This window comes from Homo sapiens, chromosome 20, assembly GCF_000001405.40.
Source record: "Homo sapiens chromosome 20, GRCh38.p14 Primary Assembly".
Classification (NCBI taxonomy): Eukaryota; Metazoa; Chordata; class Mammalia; order Primates; family Hominidae; genus Homo; species Homo sapiens.
Genome location: NC_000020.11, coordinates 33,548,583 through 33,569,256, shown reverse-complemented (window position 1 = coordinate 33,569,256; position 20,674 = coordinate 33,548,583). Strand labels below are relative to the sequence as shown.

At 40.7% G+C, this 20,674-nt stretch overlaps 1 protein-coding gene across 3 annotated transcripts in view, besides 5 other annotated features; it reads right to left on the bottom strand.

Moving 5' to 3' along the window:
• The window catches only part of CBFA2T2 (CBFA2/RUNX1 partner transcriptional co-repressor 2), a 159,935-nt gene that overhangs the window by 80,774 nt on the left and 58,487 nt on the right, over positions 1-20,674 (bottom strand). For 2 of the 3 annotated variants that reach the window (NM_005093.4, NM_001039709.2), the window contains exon 1: positions 6,583-6,915. The exons of the other annotated variant lie outside the window; for it this stretch is intronic. The gene's annotated coding sequence lies outside the window, so the exon portion shown is untranslated. Of the gene's footprint in view, positions 1-6,582; positions 6,916-20,674 lie in introns of those variants that run through there. 3 annotated transcript variants of the gene reach the window in all.
• Positions 136-1,062: an enhancer, noted in NCBI's record as "OCT4-NANOG-H3K27ac-H3K4me1 hESC enhancer chr20:32156001-32156927 (GRCh37/hg19 assembly coordinates)". NCBI's record gives its function as "activates a minimal SCP1, AML or CMV promoter by ChIP-STARR-seq in primed H9 embryonic stem cells {active_cell/tissue: H9 hESC(primed)}" and the evidence as "EXISTENCE:reporter gene assay evidence [ECO:0000049][PMID:30033119]".
• Positions 824-883: an enhancer, noted in NCBI's record as "active region_17736". NCBI's record gives its function as "activates an Ori minimal core promoter by ATAC-STARR-seq in GM12878 lymphoblastoid cells {active_cell/tissue: GM12878}" and the evidence as "EXISTENCE:reporter gene assay evidence [ECO:0000049][PMID:35858748]".
• Positions 6,800-7,094: an enhancer, noted in NCBI's record as "tiled region #10659; HepG2 Activating DNase matched - State 5:Enh". NCBI's record gives its function as "activates a minimal TATA promoter and a strong SV40 promoter by Sharpr-MPRA in HepG2 cells {active_cell/tissue: HepG2}" and the evidence as "EXISTENCE:reporter gene assay evidence [ECO:0000049][PMID:27701403]".
• Positions 11,517-12,172: an enhancer, noted in NCBI's record as "H3K27ac hESC enhancer chr20:32144891-32145546 (GRCh37/hg19 assembly coordinates)". NCBI's record gives its function as "activates a minimal SCP1, AML or CMV promoter by ChIP-STARR-seq in naive H9 embryonic stem cells {active_cell/tissue: H9 hESC(naive)}" and the evidence as "EXISTENCE:reporter gene assay evidence [ECO:0000049][PMID:30033119]".
• Positions 13,918-14,077: an enhancer, noted in NCBI's record as "active region_17735". NCBI's record gives its function as "activates an Ori minimal core promoter by ATAC-STARR-seq in GM12878 lymphoblastoid cells {active_cell/tissue: GM12878}" and the evidence as "EXISTENCE:reporter gene assay evidence [ECO:0000049][PMID:35858748]".

The following is a 20,674-nucleotide window of genomic DNA, read 5'->3' as shown; positions in this document are numbered from 1 at the left end:
AACTAGGCCCCTTTCCTAACATACTGCCCACTGGATTAAATTTAACAAACCAAAAAGCAAGTGATGAAAATTTTTGTGTGCCCTACCCCCACCCTAGGGGCACTGGGCCACGATTTGCTTGAATATTATGGGTGTGGCATGAAATATTAAAGCAGTGACTAAAATTTTCCATAAAATCCCATCCAAAGTCTAAAAGCTTTACTACTCAGAAACAGATTCATTTCCAGACATTTAAAAGATTTACTATTCCACTTATGACACTCTGGTGTTTCTACATTTAATATTTAGGGAGGAGGTGATGGGGGTGGGGAAAAGGGTGTAATTAGTTTTGCTTGTAAAATGTTCATCACAGTTGTAGCGCCAACTGAGCTATACAGCCTACTGGGGGTCTAATAGATTTCAGGGTATTATAGTTTGAGTAATAGAGGTTGGGGTTGTGGTGGAAATCAATAAATGGCTACTACTTCTTTGCATAGACCCATATGGAAGTAATCAAGCGCAAGGGTGGCAGCTGGGGCCAATAACAGTCACCTGCAGTTGAGGGACATGGGGGTTTCAGATGGGTTTTTAATGCTAATTTCCTACAGAAACAATGAGCTAGAAAGAGCAGAGTAACAGACGAGGCCGGATGAAGAGAGACCAGCCAGAACAATGGCTGCACCTGGTGCTGGGAGCAGAGGGACAGAGCAGGCACGCGCCCGCCGGCAGCAGAGGACACATCTGTCACCCTCAAAGCAGCCCATCCCCCAGCTCTTCCAGCAGAGTAAGTGGTGCAAGGTCCCTAAATGTTAACAGCTTGCCACACAGCAACAGGTTTGAGTTTTTAAAGACTGCCGCATTCTCTACAGCATTCTCTACACGCACCCTTCTCCCATGACTTAGAATTAGTTAGGGAACTGGGTTCCCTGTCAGTCTCAAGTGAGACAGTAAAAATATCCAAGACTCCCATTTTAAGTAAATCTTTTAGTTATTGTGACTTCAATGTTTTTGGGGGACTGGGAAAAATCACATGGAAAGAGAAATCTTATTGAGTGCTGATGCAGGAAGTATCATGCTAATTTCTTTCTAATTAAATCCTTAGAACTCATTTTTATTCCCATTTTACAGCTGAGAAAACTGAGGCTTAGAGGTGAAGGTTAAATCAGCTTATGGTTACACAGCCTAATGTCAAAACCCACACACAATCTTTCACCGTCTTCTCTCCATCTGTCCAAACTACCACAATCAAATGAAAATACAATAGTCCCCGCCTTGTCTGAAGGAGATGCGTTCCAAGACCCCCAGCGGATGCCTGAAACCCCAGACAGTACCAAACCCTATATATACTATGTTTTCTCCTATACATACATACCTACGATAAAGTTTAATTTACAGGCTGGGCGTGGTGGCTCATGCCTGTAATCCCAGCACTTTGGGAGGCCGAAGCGGGTAGATCACCTGAGGTCAGGCGTTCGAAACCTGCCTGGCCAACATGGTGAAACCCCATCTCTACTAAAAATACAAAAAATTAACTGGGCGTGGTGGCACATGCCTGTAATCCCAGCTACTTGGGAGGCTGAGACAGGAGAATTGCTTGAACCTGAGAGGCGGAGGTTGCAGTGAGCCGAGATCACGCCACTGCACTCCAGCCTGGGCAACAAGAGTGAAGCTCCGTCTCAAATTAAAAAAAAAAAAAAAAAGTTTAATTTACAAAGTAGGCACAGTAAGAGATTAACAAGAATAAAACATTATAACAATTATAACAATATACTGTAATAAAAGTTATGTGAATGTGGTCTCTCTCTCAGAATGTCTTAGCGTACTGTACCACAGGTAACTGAAACCCTGGAAAGCGAAACTTCGACTAAGGGGAGACTACTGTACACACTCCATTTACTGCAGAGCTCCAGCTACGAGAGACAACTGCAGATAATATGTATACATATACAGAACTGCATCCCACCTTGCCAGGCATCTATAACAAACTGCTGAGGATTGAACGATAACAGGATTTCCACGAGCTGTTGCTTTAAACAAAACACAAAGAGTTGCTTTTTCAGGTTTTGGCATGCTTTAGGAAAATTAAATCCATATGCATTTTAAATTCCCCAGTATCAATCTGTGTCATCATATAGTTCTCAAAAGTCAAATGCTGTTTGGAAAGTCCATCAGCCAGTGAAAATACAAACACCAGTTATAATATGTTGTTTTTCTGCAAGATACAACCACCACTAATTCCTTTATTTACTGACTTGAACTTGGAGGGAAAATTAAACAATCCACAGAGTCCATCATGGTAGCAATCTTTTAAATCACAGCTTCCTGGTATATAAATCACACATATAAAAGACGGCTATGCATGCATAAAGGTAAGTATCTCAGAAGTAAACAACTGATCTTGGATTTGGAAAGACAGCAACAGCTAGACATACTTCAAAACATGGTAGAAATGAATACTATGTAATTATGCATTTAATAAAGTTTAATTTAAGGCTCTAGAAGAAAGGGAACCTTTCCATCCTGCCACTATGCTCCTTCCAAACATGAGAAGTCCAAATCCTTCCTGTCCTTCTAAATTCTGATCAAACGCGACCTCCTTTAGGAAGGTTCTCTGATTCCTACAGTTGGTGCTAATTTTCAGGACTTACTACTTTTGTACTTTTTTTTTTTTTGAGACTGAGTCTTGCTCTGTTGCCCAAGCTGGAGTACAGTGGCATGATCTCAGCTCCCTGCAACTTCCGCCTCCCAGGTTCAATTGATTCTCCTGCCTCAGCCTCCTGAGTAGCTGGGATTACAGGCACATGTCACCACGCCCGGCTAATTTTTGTATTTTTAGTAGAGATGGGGTTTCGCCACGTTGGCCAGGCTTGTCTCGAACTCCTGACTTCAAGTAATCCGCTCACTTCGGTCTCCCAAAGTGCTGGGATTACAGGTGTGAGCTACTGGCGCCCAGCCACTTTTTGTACACTTTATCTCCTCTATGAGATTTCACCTTTTAAAAAAAATCCCTTACCATATTATCACATACAACAGGCAATTCAAAATAACATTCGTAAAATGGGTGTCCTGGAAACTCAACATAATTCTAGTCTAAGCTCAGCCAGCAACCAGGAGGATATTGAACTCTGGGCTGGGGAGACTATTTGCCATCCCATTATCTTTCCCTCAACTTTCCTATTTTATCTATAAAATAATGTGTTTGACTAGATTATCCAAAGGATCCTTTCCAACCCTAATATTGTCCATAGGTCATCTCTGGGAACTTATGAGCACTGAGTAGCCTTAGAATAACCATCAATGAACTGACCCAACCAATCTTTCGGATCCAACTGAATTTTTCCAGTTGTGTATTAAATACATTCGTTCACTCAAATGTATTTTTTGATGTTCCCGCAAAGCCACTTAAATGTCATTATCCTCATCTCCAGTTTATTGGCATTATTGCATTATGTGCCTCCAGTCCAACAAGGACCCTCGCTATGAAAATATGCTTGGGTCATTACTGGAAGCCAATTTAGGAGAATTTCCTCCTAGTAGTAAGATTCTCATGATGCTTCCATAATCTTCAGAAAGAATCATGATTTTCTCCAGTATTCAACTCAAATGTATCTTGGTTATAACCTCAGTAGCAAGCAATACTCTCCTGAAATGTCTGGTCCTAGCAAGACTTTTAATCACCCAACTTTATTTACAGTGAGTGAATCTTCACATCCTAAAATGCATATTTTTTCTTATTTATTATGTTTCCTGAAACTCTAGCATCCAAAGTATTCCTAGCATGGACATAGTCATATGAAATCCCCTTTTCAGGCCCTCTATAGTAGGCCCTATCCTACAGAAAAGCATTAAGTCCTTTTCTCCCCACTCATGTCTCCTAGGCTACAATGGAAAGTGTTTTCTCACTGAAGGAGTACCATGTGAATTCAGTATAAACACTATATCCTCTCAAGTATTCAGAAAAGTCCCAAAGATGCTTGTTGAACAATGCACCTATCAAAAGAGATGCCCCCAAATTTTTACAAAATCATTTTAGTCAATTTGGTATAAAAGAAAACTTGGAGCCGGGCGCAGTGGCTCACACCTACAATCCCAGCACTTTGGGAGGCCAAGGCGGGCAGATCATGAGGTCAGGAGATCGAGACCATCCTGGCTAACACGGTGAAACACCGTCTCTACTAAAAATACAAAAAATTAGCCGGGTGTGGTGGCGGGTGCCTGTAGTCCCAGCTACTCTGGAGGCTGAGGCAGGAGAATAGCATGAACCGGGGAGGTGGAGCTTGCAGTCAGTCGAGATCGCGCCGCTGCACTCCAGCCTGGGTGACAGAGCGAGACTCCGTCTCAAAAAGAAAAGAAAAGAAAAGAAAACTTGGGAAAAGTTCCATTTTAAAAGTCTCCTTCAAGTCAGCGTGGTGGCTCATGCCTGCAATCCCACCACTTTGGGAGGTCGAGGTGGCTCTATTGCTTGAGGTCAGGAGTTTGAGACAAGCCTGGGCAACATGGCAAAACCCCACCTGTATAAAAACTACCAAAATTAGCTGGGCGTGGTGGTGCGTGCCTGTGGTCCCAGCTACTCAGGAGGCCAGGGTGGGAGGATCACTGAAGTCCGGAAGAGTGAAGGCTGTAGTGAGCCATGATCATGCTTCTGCATGCTAGCCTGATCAACAGAGTTTGAGACCATGTCCCAAAAAAAAGAAAGAAAAGAAAAGAGAAAAGAAAAAAAGAGGGCCAGGCGCGGTGGCTCACTCCTTTAATCCCAGCACTTTGGGAGGCTGAGGCAGGCGGATCACAAGTTCAGGAGTTCAAGACCAGCCTGACCAACATGGTAAAACCCGTCTCTACTAAAAATACAAAAATTAGCCAGGCATGGTGGCACGCCTATACTCCCAGCTACTTGGGAGGCTGAGGCAGAATAGCTTGAACCCGGGAGGTGGAGGTTGCAGTGAGCCGAGACCGCGCCACTGCACTCCACCTGCGCGACAGAGTGAGACTCCATCTCGGAAAAAAAAAAAAAAGAAAGAAAAAGAAAAAAGTCCCCTCCACCTCAAGAAATCTGACTATAAAATTGAAGGAAGAAATTGAAGAGTACTATACTGTCCACTTAATTACCCAATTAATATAAATAAAGGCTGAAGAACTTTAAGGAATAAAAATATTTTTTAAAGTTTCTATTTGAGAAATGGTAGAATTTTTGCGTGACTTGTAATACACGGGGGAAAAACAATTTTCCAGCGGGAGGTCGCGGAGTGGGGGGAACAATTTCAACAGTGTCGTCACAAAGCAGTACAATTCAGTACCTCACTCCTGCTTGTTGACTTTTTCAAAGTTCTTCTGTTCTGGTATAGTTTGGCAAATATAGCATAGAACATTTAGAATAGATGCAGACAATCTGAGACGAGTACAGCAAGAGGAAGGGCGCCCTGAAAACTAGAACTACAGGCCAGACCCATTCTTGCCCAGGAGCTGAAGTTAAAAATGCAAGGGGTTTAGGAATCTATCGCAGCAAAAAAAGTGAACATCTAGAACTCTTGAAACCAACTTGTATGCTTTCTATGTGCCAGACAAATTTCCCCAATAACAACATCAGTCAGGAATTACACAAAATAGAGATTCAAAGAGAACAGTGGCTTGCTTGAGATTACAGAACTAGTAAATAATGGGTACACAGTTTGTGTAACTCCCAAACTCATGTTCTTTCCATAGAACATGGAAAGGAAGCCTAGATTCGAAGGCCTCAAAAACATGAATACAATGTATGGAAACAGTAAAAAGTGGCCAGGTGCAGTGGCTCATGCCTGCAATCCCAACACTTTGGGAAGCTGAGGCAGAAGGATCACTTGAGCCTAGAAGTTTAAGAGACTAGTCTGGGCAACACAGTGAGACCCATCTCTATTTCTTATATATAAGAAATAGCAAAAATCTAAAATAGGCATCACAAACTAACCAGGACTACAGAACACAGTACGTAGTTATATGCACATGAATTTATTGCATCACAAAACTACCCCAAACTCACAATTCAAGTCAGATTCATTGATGTTATTTATTTTATATGTAGCAAGAAAACAGAAGAAAACAGCATAGGAGCAAAATGTAAATGAAAAACTGTTAGATATATCTAAAACGAAGAGATGCTGTTAGTTTTGCTTCAACCTCTTTTAGTTATAATTTGCCTGCATATACTGAAATAAAATCTGACAATAGAAAAGAGCGTTTTATGAGCCATCTTTTTAATATGGCCTATTTGTATTATGCATACTAAAGGGGAAAAAAATTCCCTCTAAACATCACAGAACAATCCAACGTGGAAAACCTTACAGAAATATTTGTGGGACTACTTTTCTAGCTGTAGAATTCATATACTACATCTAATTATTAAGTAAACCTTGCATTCAAAAAAGCATGACATTCAAATATAAGGTTGGCAACAGAAAAATAGAAACATAAATAAAATGAAGCATTAAAATAAAACTGAGTAGAAAGGCTGAACTCTTGTATCAAATACCAAGAAACATTCATATCATCGTAATTTGAAAGAAGTAAAAAGCTTTGAAAGGCAGAGAATTGTGCACTTTAACCCCCAAAACTATATTAAAATGTACTTACCCCAAATGCCCAAATTATAAACAATCCAGATTCTTAAATACACCAAATTTATTTGAAATAGATATTCCAAAGCTCCTCTTTTTCTCCTCCTAATCTTCAAAGCTCAATCGGAGACCAGCCTTCCTCCTCCTTTCATTAGCTGGACATGTGTCAGCTCTCTCACATCTGCGATTTCTCACTGACTAGAGCTGCCTGTCCCATTCCAGGGAAACACAGATGGATCCCAGATGGGAAGGTCCTGCCAAACAGACCAGCTCTTCACCTTGCCAGAATCCCCAGATACAGTCAGTCTCTCTCTTTTTCTCCCTCCCTCCTGCTTCCTCTCTCTCCACTACCCTTCCAACCCTCCCTGTTACCAGGGCTCTTTGCCAGCTGATGTCACTAAGTACACACCTCCCAGTGGCTCCTGGCCAATCTGACATTAACTTGTTAAATACGTGTAATTTGTTTATGGCTGACAATAACAGCAAGGATATTGTGCAAAACCTATCTGTGCAAATCCCTAGTGGAATAACACGTAGAGACACACAGAGACACACAGACTCACATTTTTGGGAACATTCAAATGTTTAGCAATTACCATTTAAAGTCCTATATACTGTCTGGTTTCTGCTATTGTTTAATAGCTTCTGTTTTTTGAGCCAGTTTTTAAATCCTAATATAACAAATTCCTTCTTAAAATCAATTATTAAAAATATGTTTTGAACATATAATTGGATGAAAAATATAAAGTTGCAAATTAATTTGGGGAATATAAACAGAAATGTATGTAAATGATTCACACAAGCTGCCTCTCAGATCCAGACTTGGTAGCACTGCAAAACTGGCACGTGATTAAAATAAGACAATGCAGGCAACATGGTTCTGATGCTGTAAAGATTATAAATGGAAGATGGGGACACAATGCAAAATTGTTTTAAAACAGAGCAAATATAAATGTCAGAAATAACATAATATTTAACATTAAAATAACTGCTAATATAAGTGTCAACAATGAGTCGCCAAAATAAAAAATATTTTAAGAACAATAACAATGAAAATCCAGAGAGATGACAGAAACCCATAAGGTCAGAGTTTAATCCTTTATACCTCAAAGAGCTAGCATATAATAGCTGCTCAGTCAATTTCTGCTAAATAAAAATCGAAGGTTGACAACTGATACCATACTATAGTTACACAAAATGGTACCACTGGGGCAAATTGAGTGAAGGGTCCAACGGACCTCCCTGTACATTTTTCATTATAACTTCCTGTGAATCTACATTTTAAAATAAAAAGTTAAAAGATTGTGGGTGGTGGTAGCCAGGTGCAGTGACTCACACCTGTAATCCCAACACTTTGGGAGGCCAAGGTGGTCAGGTCGCTTGAGCTCAGGCGTTTGAGATCAGCCTGGGCAATTTTGGGAGGCCAAGGTGGTCAGGTCGCTTGAGCTCAGGCGTTTGAGATCAGCCTGGGCAACACAGTGAGACCCCATCTTTAAAAAAGAAAAGAAAAAGAAAGGCCAGGCACTGTGGCTCACACCAGTAATCCCAGCACTTTTGGAGGCCGAGGCAAGCGGATCACAAGCTCAAGAGATCAAGACCATCCTGGCCAACATGGTGAAACCCTGTCTCTACTAAAAACACAAAAATTAGCTGGGCGTGTTGGTACGCACCTGTAATCCCAGCTACTCGGGAGGCTGAGGCAGGAGAATTGCTTGAACCCGGGAGGTGGAGGTTGCAGTGAGCTGAGATCATGCCACTGCACTCCAGCCTGGTGACAGAGCGAGACTCCGTCTCAAAAAAAAAGCAAAAGCAAAAGCAAAAAAAGATGGCCAGGGGAAGGCGGGGGTCTTGGCTTCTTCCTGGGTCACATTACATGACACATATCCTATACTAAAATCTACATGAATACAGATTCGGCATGAAAGATCCCCTGCATATATATATATATAGTCAAACAGGTGTGGTTATAATTCTCTAACCCTTAACCTTCTACCATACTTGGGATATATCTGCAATCTGTAAACAATATTTCTGTCATGGCAATTTTTGACAAATAGGAAGGAAGGCTATTTCTGTCAAGGGCAACTTAATTACTAGGTTTTAGGGCTTCATTTCATACCAGTGATGGTGGTAATAATAGTAACACCAGCAGGTTCAGTGTTTGTCATGTGTACTCACTAAGTGTCAGAGACTATTCTAGTTCCCTGCATTGCTACAAAGGTCCTATGTTAAAGGGCCTATAAGGTAGGTATTATTGTCTCAAAGTTATAGCTAAGGAAAGTAATGTTCAAACAAGTTAATGCCACATAGCTAGTGTCAGCATCAGGTTGTCTGAATTCACAGCTAGAGCACTACACCCCACTGCTGACAAGAAAATGAATCCAAAGATGCTGCTGGCTGTCTTGGATCACTTGTTCTCAAGGAAGCCAGCTACCATGTTGTGAAGACACTCAAGCAGTCCTAAGAGCCTTCCACATGGGGAGAGACTGAGACATCTTGCCAATAGCCGGTATCAAATTGCCTACAATGTAAGTAAGCCATCTTGACAGCAGACACCAAGCCACTACCATCGAACTAAGGCACCTCAGAATTATGACCCATACAAACCATGTGAGGTGATAAATACTGTTATTTAAAAAGGAAAACAAGGTGGGTCTTTCACTTCTAGCACTCAGATTATGGATCCTAAATAGCATTTTCCAATAAAAGGAAGCAGAGCTCTTCAGGAAAATAGTCAACTCCAGGTATAGGGCAGAAAATGTACAAAACTTGTCATAACAGAAAGCAATCAGGCCATCAATCACTTCTGGAGTTATGTCCCAAGGACTCAGAGAGAGTTAATGTGAAGAGGCTCCCACTAACAAAGATGGGGTAATTTGAGGAGCAATAAAAAATGACCACAATTGGCCAGGCGCAATGGCTCACGCCTGTAATCCCAGCACTTTAGGAGGCCAAGGTGGGTGGATCACAAGGTCAGGAGATCAAGACCATCCTAGCCAACACGGTGAAACCCCGCCTCTACTAAAAAATACAAAAATTAGCTGGGTGTGGTGGTGGGCGCCTGTAATCCAAGCTACTTGGGAGGCTGAGCCAGGAGAATGGCTTGAACCCAGGATGCAGAGGTTACAGTGAGCCAAGATCATGCCACTGCACTCCAGGCTGGTGACAGAGGAAGACCCTGTCTCAACAACAACAACAACAACAAAAATCACAATTGGGCCAGGAGTGGTGGATCACACCTGTAATCCCAGCACCTTGGGAGGCTGAAGTGGGCAGATCGCCTCAGGTCAGGAGTTCCAGACCAGCCTGGCCAAGATAGTGAAACTCTCTCTCTACTAAAAATACAAAAATTAGCCAGGCATGCTGGCACATGCCTATAGTTCCAGCTACTCAGGAGTCTGAGGCAGGAGAATCGCTTGAACCAGGAAGGCAGAGGTTGGAGCCAAGATTGCCCCATTGTACTCCAGCCTGGGTGACAGAGTGACACTCCATCTCAGAAAAAAAAAAAAAAAAAAAAAGAAAGGAAAAAAAGAAGCTGCAATTGATTGAAACACAATAAAATGTTTAAATCATGAGTTCATAATAATACCTATTTAAAAAAACTAATTGATTACTTATCTTTCAGAGAATACTAGAGAACCAAACTCATTCTAAAATCTGATGAATCAAGCATTTCATCTGTCTTTCCTATATGAACTGTACATCTAGTTAAACAAATAGTTGGAGAAAAGTGTTGGGTTCAATGTTCATTATTTCGATGATAGGCTAACTAGGAGCACAAACCTCACCACTATGCAATACATCCATGTAACAAAGCTGCACATGTACCCGAATCTAAAATAAAGATTCAAGAATCGCCGCCCCCCCAAACAGTTGGCGAAAAATTGATCTCTATTGAAATAATCCAACTAGTAAATGACAAAATAATATATCTGGAATATCATCATTTTGCAAATCCCTAATGAAAAAATGAATCTAATGATCACCAATTGCCACTATTATAAAACGAGAGACACCTGGAAATTAATATGCCTCCTAATGAATCATGCTTTACCCAAAAAAAAAGTAAAACAATACGATTGAGCAAATTTATAAAACATTGAGGGGACACAGGAACATGTTAATGGCAAGATGATGATGCAATTAGCAAAGTCGAGAATGTGGAAAACTTTATAGTCCAAGCAATCCAGATTCTTAAGGAAAAAAAGGGAGATGGAGGGAGTTAGGAGCAGAACCTATACATTAAAAGAGAAATAAGGGCCTGGCACAGCAGCTCACACCTATAGTCCCAGCGCCTTGGGAGATTGAGGAAGATGTCTCACTTGAGGCCAGGAGTTTTGAGACCAGCCTGGCCAACATGGTGAAGCCTCATCTCTACTAAAACCACAAAAATTAGCTGGGCAAGATGGCGCACTCCTGTAATCCCAGCTACTCTGGTGGCCGAGGCAGGAGAATCGCTTGAATTTGGGAGGCGGAGGTTGCAGTGAGCCATGATCGCACCACTGCACTCCAGCCTGAGCGAGAGTGAGACAGAGTCTCAAAAAAAAAAAAAAAGAGAGAGCGCGCCCAGGCGCAGTGGCTCACACCTGTAATCCCAGCACTTTGGAAGGCCGAGACGAGTGGATCACGAGGTCAAGAACTCAAGACCAGCCTGGCCAACATGGTGAAACCCCGTCTCTACTAAAAATTTAGCCAGGCGTAGTGGCTGGCACCTGAAATCCCAGCTACTTGGGAGGCTTAGGCAGAAGAATCACTTGAACCCAGTAGGCGGAGGTTGCGGTGAGCCGAGATCGCGCCACTGCACTTTAGCTTGGGCGACAGAGCAAGATTTTTGTCTCAAAACAGAAAAAAAAAAAAAGAGAGAGAAATAAAAGACCTAAATGTGGCTGGGCACAGTGGTTCACGCCTGTAATCCCAACACTTTGAGAGGCCAAGGTGGAAGGATCACTTGAGGCCAGGAGTTTGAGACCAGCTTGGGCAACATACCAAGATCCCATTTCTACAAAAAATTACAAAATTAGCCAGGCGTGTTGGGGCATGCCCGCAGTCCTAGCTACCTGAGAGGCTGAGGTGGGAGTATTGCTTGACACCAGGAGTTTGAGGCTGCAGTGAACTATGATCCCACCACTGCACTTCACCCTGGGTGACAGAGTGAGACCCTGTCTCTCAAAAAATATATAGACATAGAAATACACACGCAAACACACTTTCATACATACACTTCCTAGCTGTTTGCTGAGAGGTTCTAGAAGCAATGACCCCTTCTATAAATGAACACCCAGATCTTGATTTCTAAACTACATTTTCTACTAAAACCAAGGATCCTTGGAGAAATAGCTGATCTCTGGTAGGGCAGGGAAAGTAAAAGATAAGCACACAGCTGGGCGCAGTGGCTCACGCCTGTAATCCCAGCACTTTGGGAGGCCAAGGCAGGCGGATCACAAGGTCAGCAGTTCGAGACCAGCCTGGCCAACATGGTGAAAACCCGTCTCTACTAAAAATACAAAAATTAGCCAGGCGTGGTGGTAGGCACCTGTAATCCAAGCTACTTGGGAGGCTGAGGCAGAAGAATCCCTTGAACCCAGGAGGCGGAGGTTGCAGTGAGCCAAGACCATGCCATTGCACTCCAGCCGGGGCAACAGAGTGAGGCTCTGTCTCAAAAAAAAAAAAAAAAAAAAAAAAAAAAGATAAGCATGCAACACCTTGGGCAAGAAAGTAAGAGACTGCTCAAAAATGACAGGGGTATGTCAAAAGAACACTAAAGCCAGTTAGAAGGGACTACCACTGGAATTGTGCAACAATTTAAGCATCAAAATAAATAATGATAGTAATGGATTAGAGCATAATCCATATTTAATTTTTTTAACCAATCAACAAGGAAGAAAGGAAAGCATTCCTTCATTAGAATGCCAATATGTAAATGCAGAAACAATGATGGAATTAGAAAATTACCACTAGTAGGGTGCAGCTGCTCATGCTTATAATGTCAGCACTCTGGGAGGTCAAGGTGGAACAATCACTTTAGGCCAGGAGTTCAAAATCTGCTTGGGCAACATAGTGAGACCTTGTCTCTACAAAAAAAAATTAAAAATTAGAAAAAAGAAAATCACCACTAGATGCTGAGACTACTAGTGAATAGAAAACTAATGAAAAACAGGACAACTTCATCATCTCTAAATATACCCAACAAATTACTTATTAATCACAAAGAGGATAGTAATTTTTGCAGTGGAGTAACCTGGCAGACATGACCTTAATACAATGATTAACCAATCACTAATATTGAGACACACTGATTATGTGCCTCCTTAAATGAGGCATTAAGGAGAATACATCCCTTCTATAGTATTCCAGCCTGAAATTCGTAACATTAATGTAATCATAAGGTAACGGCAACGAAACCCAAACTAAGTACAGAACAACTGGTCTGTATTCAAAATTGGAATGGTCAAGAAAAGAAAAGTACCAGGAGGGGAGAAGAGGAGGCAGGCAGGCTGAAGAACTGTTTTAGAATAAGAAAAATTAAAGAGCCGCAGTGGCTCACATTTGTAATCCCAAAACTTTGGGAGGCCAAGGAAGGTGGCTTACTTAAGGTAAGGAGTTCGAGACCAGCCGGAGCAACGTAGTGAGACTCCATCTCTACAAAAAGTAAAAAAAATTAGCCAGGCATAATGGCATGTGCCTATATTCCCAAGTATTCAGGAGGCTGAGGTTGGGGGATTGCCTGAGTCCAGGAGGTCAAGGCTGCAGTGAGCCATTATTGCACCACTGCACCCTAGCCTGGGCACCAGAATGAGACCCTGTCTCTAAGAAAGAAGAAAAAAGGAAAGAGGAAAGGGGAAAGGCAAGGAAGAAAGAGACATGCCAGTTAAATTCAGTGTGTGATGACAGACTGAATTGGATTGAGGTATAAGAGCTATAAAAGACATTATTGAAATAATTTATAAAACCTGAATATAGTCTGTGAATCAGGTTAATAGTATGGTATCATTATTACATTTTCTGATTTTGATAATTGTACTGTGGTTATGTGTGGTTATGTAAGAAAATGCCTTTGATTTCAGGAAATATGCATTTAAGTATTTAGGGATAAAAGGGCATATTTCCACTTTCAGAGTGGTTCAGGAAAAAAACTGTACCTCCAAAATACACACAATGATAAAGCAATTGGAGTAAAATGTAAACAACTTATAGAAAGTTGCAAGAACTCCTAAGTATTTTACTGTATCAAAAACAAAACAAAACAAAAAACAGAAAACAAGTCCCATCCATGACAAAAAAGTGTGAAGACACTCTTGTGGGTATTAAGTGAACATGTGTGTCAGTCCATGATCTAATGATCCCATTCATGACGGTCTCTTCTTTGGTTTCTTACTCTGATGATGACAACTACATGCCATTTTAATGTTTTTTTTTTTTTAAATTGGGCAGCCATTAGGCTGAGACAGCTGGCTCCAGTGCCTAGTAAGCAAACTGAAGCCCAATGTAAACATAAAATGAAACTTAAGCTTAACCAATCAAAAACAAACCTCTAACTAGGGACTTTCCACTGGATCATATCCAAATAAGGCAAGTGCCTAGCTACAGCCAATCAAGTAATTCCTTTACTTTGCTACAGCGTTCAGCCTATAAAAGCCTGCTTCTAAAGCAGAGCTCTCTGAACTTCTTCCAGTTTTGAATGCTGCCTGAATCCTTTAATGCTCACCTAAATTCTGCTAAATGTCTGTCTAAAGTTTTTATTTAAACAATTCTGAACATTTTTAAGTTGTTATTTTTTCTTATGTAATATTCATTTTAATACCTATAATGGGTACTCTGACATTCAATCTAAATTAATAGAAAACAGAAAAATAATTCTACAAATACACTTGAGATGCAGACATCTGAGTTTGATTTATCAGATCAAATCTCTCATCTAGCACATAAAAATGATTCTAGACTTTCAAACAACGTTAAAAAAGAAAAACAGCCAGGCGCAGTGGCTCACACCTGTAACCCCAGCAATTTGGGAGGCTGAGATCACTCCACTGCACTCCAACCTGGACAACAAAAGCGAAACTCCATCTCAAAAAAAAAAAAAAAAAAAAAAAGAAAAGAAAAAGGAAAAGGAAAGAAAAGAAAAGAAAAGAAAAAAGAAAAATAGGCCGGGCGCAGTGGCTCACCCCTGTAACCCCAGCAATTTAGGAGGCTGAGGTGGGCAGATCACTTGAGGTCAGGAGTTCGAGAACAGCCTGGTCAACATGGTGAAACCCCGTCTCTACTAAAAATACAAAACCTAGCTGGGCCAGGTGGCACAAGCCTGTAATCCCACTCAGGAGACTGAGGCAGGAGAATCACTTGAACCCAGGAGGCGAAGGCTGCAGTGAGCTGAGATCATGCCTCTGCACTCCAGCTTGGGTGACAGAGCAACACTGTCTGAAAAAAAAAAAAAAAAAGAAAAAAGTAAGAAAAATAAACACTGGTGCTTATAGTGAATTTGCTTTTCATTGTAATAACTCCTTACTTGCACAGAAGTTCTGCAAACAGCAACCTGGAATGTTTCTTCATCTGTCACTTAAGAACAAAATAATATTATATGGTATTTCAAGCATCAGGTTGCAAAAATAGTCTTTTTTGAAAATGAAACGCATTGTAAAATTTCAATCTACATTTTAATCTATCCCAAAACCAAACCAATCTTTTTATTTTAACATCAATATCAAGAATCATGTTTTACTTAAATACAAATGTAAAGTTAACAAAAGCATATGCCTACTAGTAAACTGGAGAAACTAAAAATATATAATTAATATATTTAAGATTGTATTTTACATTACTTTAAGATCAGACTTTTTAAAAATCACCTCTTTAACATCTACCATACAAAAATAAAATCATTTTTCAAAAAACCCTAAGAGGGGATTTGCAAGATTGCATAACAAGGGCTTTCAAGTCCAACAAGATCAGGGGATGATGATTTATAGTAGAAGTCAGCAAACTTATAGCCTGCTTAGCGTTTTAGTAAACAAAGTTTCACTGGAAAAGGACCATGCCCATTCCTTTACATATTGTCTATCTATGGCTGCTTTCCTGCCGCATTAGCAGGGTTGGGACAGAGATCGTGTGGCCCACAAAGCCAAAAACGGTCACTATATGACCCTTTACAAAAAACTAAACTCTGGCTGGGCATGGTGGCTCACGCCTGTAATCCCAGCACTTTGGGAGGCTGAGGCTGGTAGATTACTTGAGGTCAGGAGTTCGAGACCAGCCTGACCAATATGGTGAAACCATGTCTCTACTAAAAATACACACAAAAAATTAGCCAGGCGTAGTGGCGTGCACCTGTAGTCCCAGCTACTCGGGAGGCTGAGACAGGAGAACTGCTTGAACCCGGGAGGTGGAGGCTGCAGTGAGCCAAGACTGTGCACCATTGCACTCCCGCCTGGGTAACAGAGTGAAACTCCCTCTAAAACAAAAAACATAAACTAAACTCTGATTTATAGCAACAACGTAGCTTTACAAAAAAAAGTTCTAATACTCAAACACCTACTGAGGTTACACTAAGTGCAGGAGACACAGTAAAGAAAAATAGTCTCTGCTCTCAGGGAGCTTACAGTCTATTGAGAAAAGTAATGTAATTATCATACAAACAAACATAATAATATATACTAAGTGCTATAAAGAAAAAAACCAGAACTATGAGCTTCACAGCAGGGACTAGAGTTAAGGGGTGTGCTATATAGACATAATCTCTGATGAAATGAAATTTGACAGAGGAGAAGTAGATCAGGTTAAAAAGGGGGATGGGGTGGAGATGAAGAATATTCAGAAGTATTTCAGGCAGAGGGAACAGAATAATATAGGAACCCTGAGATGGTAAAAGGTATGACTAGCAGAAAGAAGCAGGAGGAAGTCAGCATGTATGGACAGCATTAAACGTGCAGAAGGACGATGAAGTGGAGTGACAAGCAAGGGGACATTTCACACATTTGCTGGGGTGCAGGGGACAGCATAAGCCCATTTGTCTCACTTCCTAAATGTTAGATAATCTTGCAAACTCCTGTGACAACAAAGGCTATCTTATTCACTATTCTGTCTTATTCACCTTCACATCCACACGGCTTGACAGTGTTTAACAATGCTCAAAAAAATGTTTAGAATTTGAAATGTACAACTGATCAGAAAATAGTGTCTTCCTTTTTTTTACAGCAAACATTTCAAGAGACACTGATTTCCCCTTACAATTCAGCAGAAAGAGCCTGGAGTAGCTGTTTCACTGATTCAATTACTAAGCCAATTATCTAAATCCCTAAAACTCTCATCTGTCAAAAATCAGAAGACAGGACCAGGTGTCACCTGAGGTCCTCTGAAGCTTTGTTTCTTTCTATTTAGCACATGTTTAAACAGCTCAAGATCCAATTATTCTTCCATGTAGTCTCATAACATCATTGTTAAGTCAAATAACCTGAAAATGCTCTCCACAAACAAGATATTCTAATTTTCCAATTTATATGACAATGTGTAGATTCCAGTTTTATTAGTTATTAAAGACTTCATAAATGGTTGTGTATTTGCTTCACACACTGAGCATTACAAAGCTTGGAAAAAATTTTGTCAACTTAAAAAAAAAAAAAAACCAGGGAAGCAATCAAACTCAAAAGTGATCTTGAAAATTAAAACTGAACAACAATTCTGATGTTTGAGTCATCAGCCCTTATGGGACACAAGTCAGACTACAGCAGCTGTGGACCATCATTTAAAATCAAGAATTTTACGTAAGCAGAAAAAAAAAGGGCAGGGAGGGCAAGAAGAGAAAAAGGAAAAAAAAATCAAGAATTAAACTTAATAGTGATAGAAGATTTTTAAAAGTTGATGGAACAGGCCAGGAGAAGTGACTCACACCTGTAATCCCAGCACTTTGGGAAGCCAAGGTGGGCGGATTTCTTGAGGTCAGGAGTTCAAGACCAGCCTGGCCAATATGGTGAAACCCCGTCTCTACTAAAAATACAAAAATTAGCCGGGCGTGGTGACACACGCCTGTAATCCCAGCTACGATGGGAGACTGAGGCACAAGAATTGCTTTAACCCAGGAAGTGGAGGTTGCAATGAGCTGAGATCACACCACTGCACTCCAGACTGGGTGACAGAGAGAGAATCAATCAACAACAACAAAACATTGATGGAACAAAAGCACAGAGCTGGGTGTGGTGGCTCACACCTGTAATCCCAGCACTTTGGGAGGCCAAGGCAGGCAGATCACCTGAGGTCGGGAGTTCGAGACCAGCCTGACTAACATGGAGAAACCCCGTCTCTACTAAAAATACAAAATTAGCTGGGCGTGGTGGTGCATGCCTGTAATTCCAGCTACTTGGGAGGCTGAGGCAGGAGAATCACTTGAACCCAGGAGGCTGAGGTTGCAGTGAGCCGAGATTACGCCATTGCACTCCAGCCTGGGCGACAACAGCGAAACTCCATCTCAAAAAAAAAAAAAAGCACAGAAAATAAATGGAAGTCAAAAATTTCACTTGCTGGAATAAACCAACAGTTAATTGTATATTTTAAGTAAGGGATATACAGTTACTCTACTCAAATGAGACCACCAACTGATTTCCTTCTTTCACTATGAACACTTCCGTCGAATGAGCTCTTCACCTGGAAAACTATCCATACTTAAAGACTTATGGCTCCCCTTTAGGAGCAATGATTCCTGAAACAGCATTGACAACTCTCCACCCCAACTCATGTAGCTTCCAACTCATGTAGCTTGACAGCAGATAAGACCACATCAAGGCCAAGCGTGGTGGCTCACGCTTGTAATCCCAGCACTTTGGGAAGCCGAGAGGGGACGGATCACCTGAGGTCAGGAGTTGGAGACCAGCCTGGGCAAGGTGGTGAAACCCCGTCTCTAATAAAAATACAAAAATTAGCCAGGTGTGGTGGTACGAACCTGTAATCCCAGCTACTAGGGAAGCTGAGGCAGGAGAATTGCTTGAACCCGGGAGCGGAGGTTGCAGCGAGCTAACAGCGCACCACTTCACTCCAGCCTGGGCGAAAACAGCGAAACTCCATCTCTACATAAATAAATAAATAAATAAATAAATAACCACATTAGTACTTCAGACTTTGAGTTATTTGTTGACCAAATGTACCCATTACTGTTCTCTGAGGACAGGTGGTGTGTCTTGATTAACATGTTTAATGCTTATTTGTTGGGTAAATAAATTAAAATATGCTGTTTGTTTAAAAAATAAATTTAACAGGATCAAACCACAAAGCATTAGCTTAGAAAGAATCCAAGCCAATCCCTCCATTTAATTAAAATAGGGGGAGGGGAGTTAAAGTCTGAAAGGGTGAATTAAATTTCTATTAAATGTGATGTATTCAAATCAAATTATGCTGTCTTCAAGAATTTTTTAATGGGAGGATTTTGACAAAAAATTAATAATTTCAAGACTACTTTGCTAATAAGTATTAAAAATTATTGCCCCTGAACTGGTTTTTCCAAACATCGTGGCCATTTTCACCATCCTGTCCCATCCAAAATAAGGTATCATTCATACTTGGGGTATACACCTATTTGCAAAGACAATGTAGAACGTTATTACATTTGTTAAGTTATTAAAATCTATAGCTCTTAGTATCTTCTGGAAGGCTTTATGTGGAAAAAACTGTCCAAATTCTATAAGACAGGTATTTATTGAACCCTATTTTATAAACTTAAAACAAAGAAGGATGCTGTCTTTGATGTGTCTGAAACCCTAACATGAACCCCAACTGCCAGTGTTCTATCTCCCTCTTGGTCCCAATCTCTCAGGACACCTGATTTAGAGAAAAAAAAAAAAAAAAAAAAGCAGCAGCCATCTATTATACATAAATGCCATCTGCAGACATGTGCTGTACTTGGACTACTCCTTTGCAGCAGGGGAAAAAACCTGTTGTCCCTCTGCCCCTGCCAACATTTTAAATAAGTTTTATTGAGGTATAATATACAGACCATAAAATTTGCCTATTTTCAGTGTACAAGTCAATGATTTTTAGTAAATTTACAGTTGTACGATCATCACAATTCCATTTTAGAACATTTTCATCACCCCTAAAAGATCCCTCATGTCCCTTTACAGCCCTAGACAACCACTACTAATCTTGCTTTCACTGTCCCTATAAATTCGCTATTCCTGGACATTTCACATAAATGAAAGGATATGTCATCTTTTGTGGCTTCTTTAATTTAGCAAAATATTTCTGAGCTTCATGCTGTACCATGTATCAAGATTCACTCCTTTTTACTGCTGAGTAGTATTCTACTGATGAATACACATTATGCTTATCTATTCACCAGTTAATGGGCATTTGGATTGTTTCCAATTTTTGGCTATTTAGTAATGCTGCTGGGAACAATCTACACAAGTTCAAAATGGTTGATTTTTTTTTTTTATAAATTTGTCCAGTTTTATCTGCTTTATGGAGGGAGGATTTCCCAAGCACCTTAATCCAACATTCCAGAAATTCTGCCCTAACCAAATAGTTTTTAATAATTTTTCGATTATTCTGACATTATGCTCTCATCAGTAGTTTGTCAACTAATATTAATATCATGTTTAGATTTTCCTCGTCCCAGATTATAAGAATATGCACCTATATGTTCTTCTAGAACTCCCGTGGTTTCACTTTTATATAGCTCATTCTTAAGTACAATGAATGAATACGGATGGATGGATGGATGGATGGATGGATGGACGGATGGACAGATGGACAGGGTCTTGCTCTATCATCCAGGATGGGGCTGAAGTGCAAAGGAGGGAATCATAGCTCACTGCAACCTCAAACTTATGGGCTCAAGTGATCTTCCTGCTTCAGCCTCCTGAGTAGCGGCAACTCCAGAAGAATGCCACCATGTCTGGCTTTTTTTCGGGGGAAGGGTAGACACAGGGTTTCACTATGTTGCCCACACTGGTCTTCAACTCCTGGCCTCAATCTCCCCATTTTGGCCTCCCAAAGTGCTGGGATTACAGATGTGAGCCACTGTACCCAGCCCAGAATTTATTTTGATATATGCAGAAAATCTGAGGTTGAAAAGCCTAAAATATGAGTTTTATTAAGATAACTATACTTATTGCTGAACCCACAGG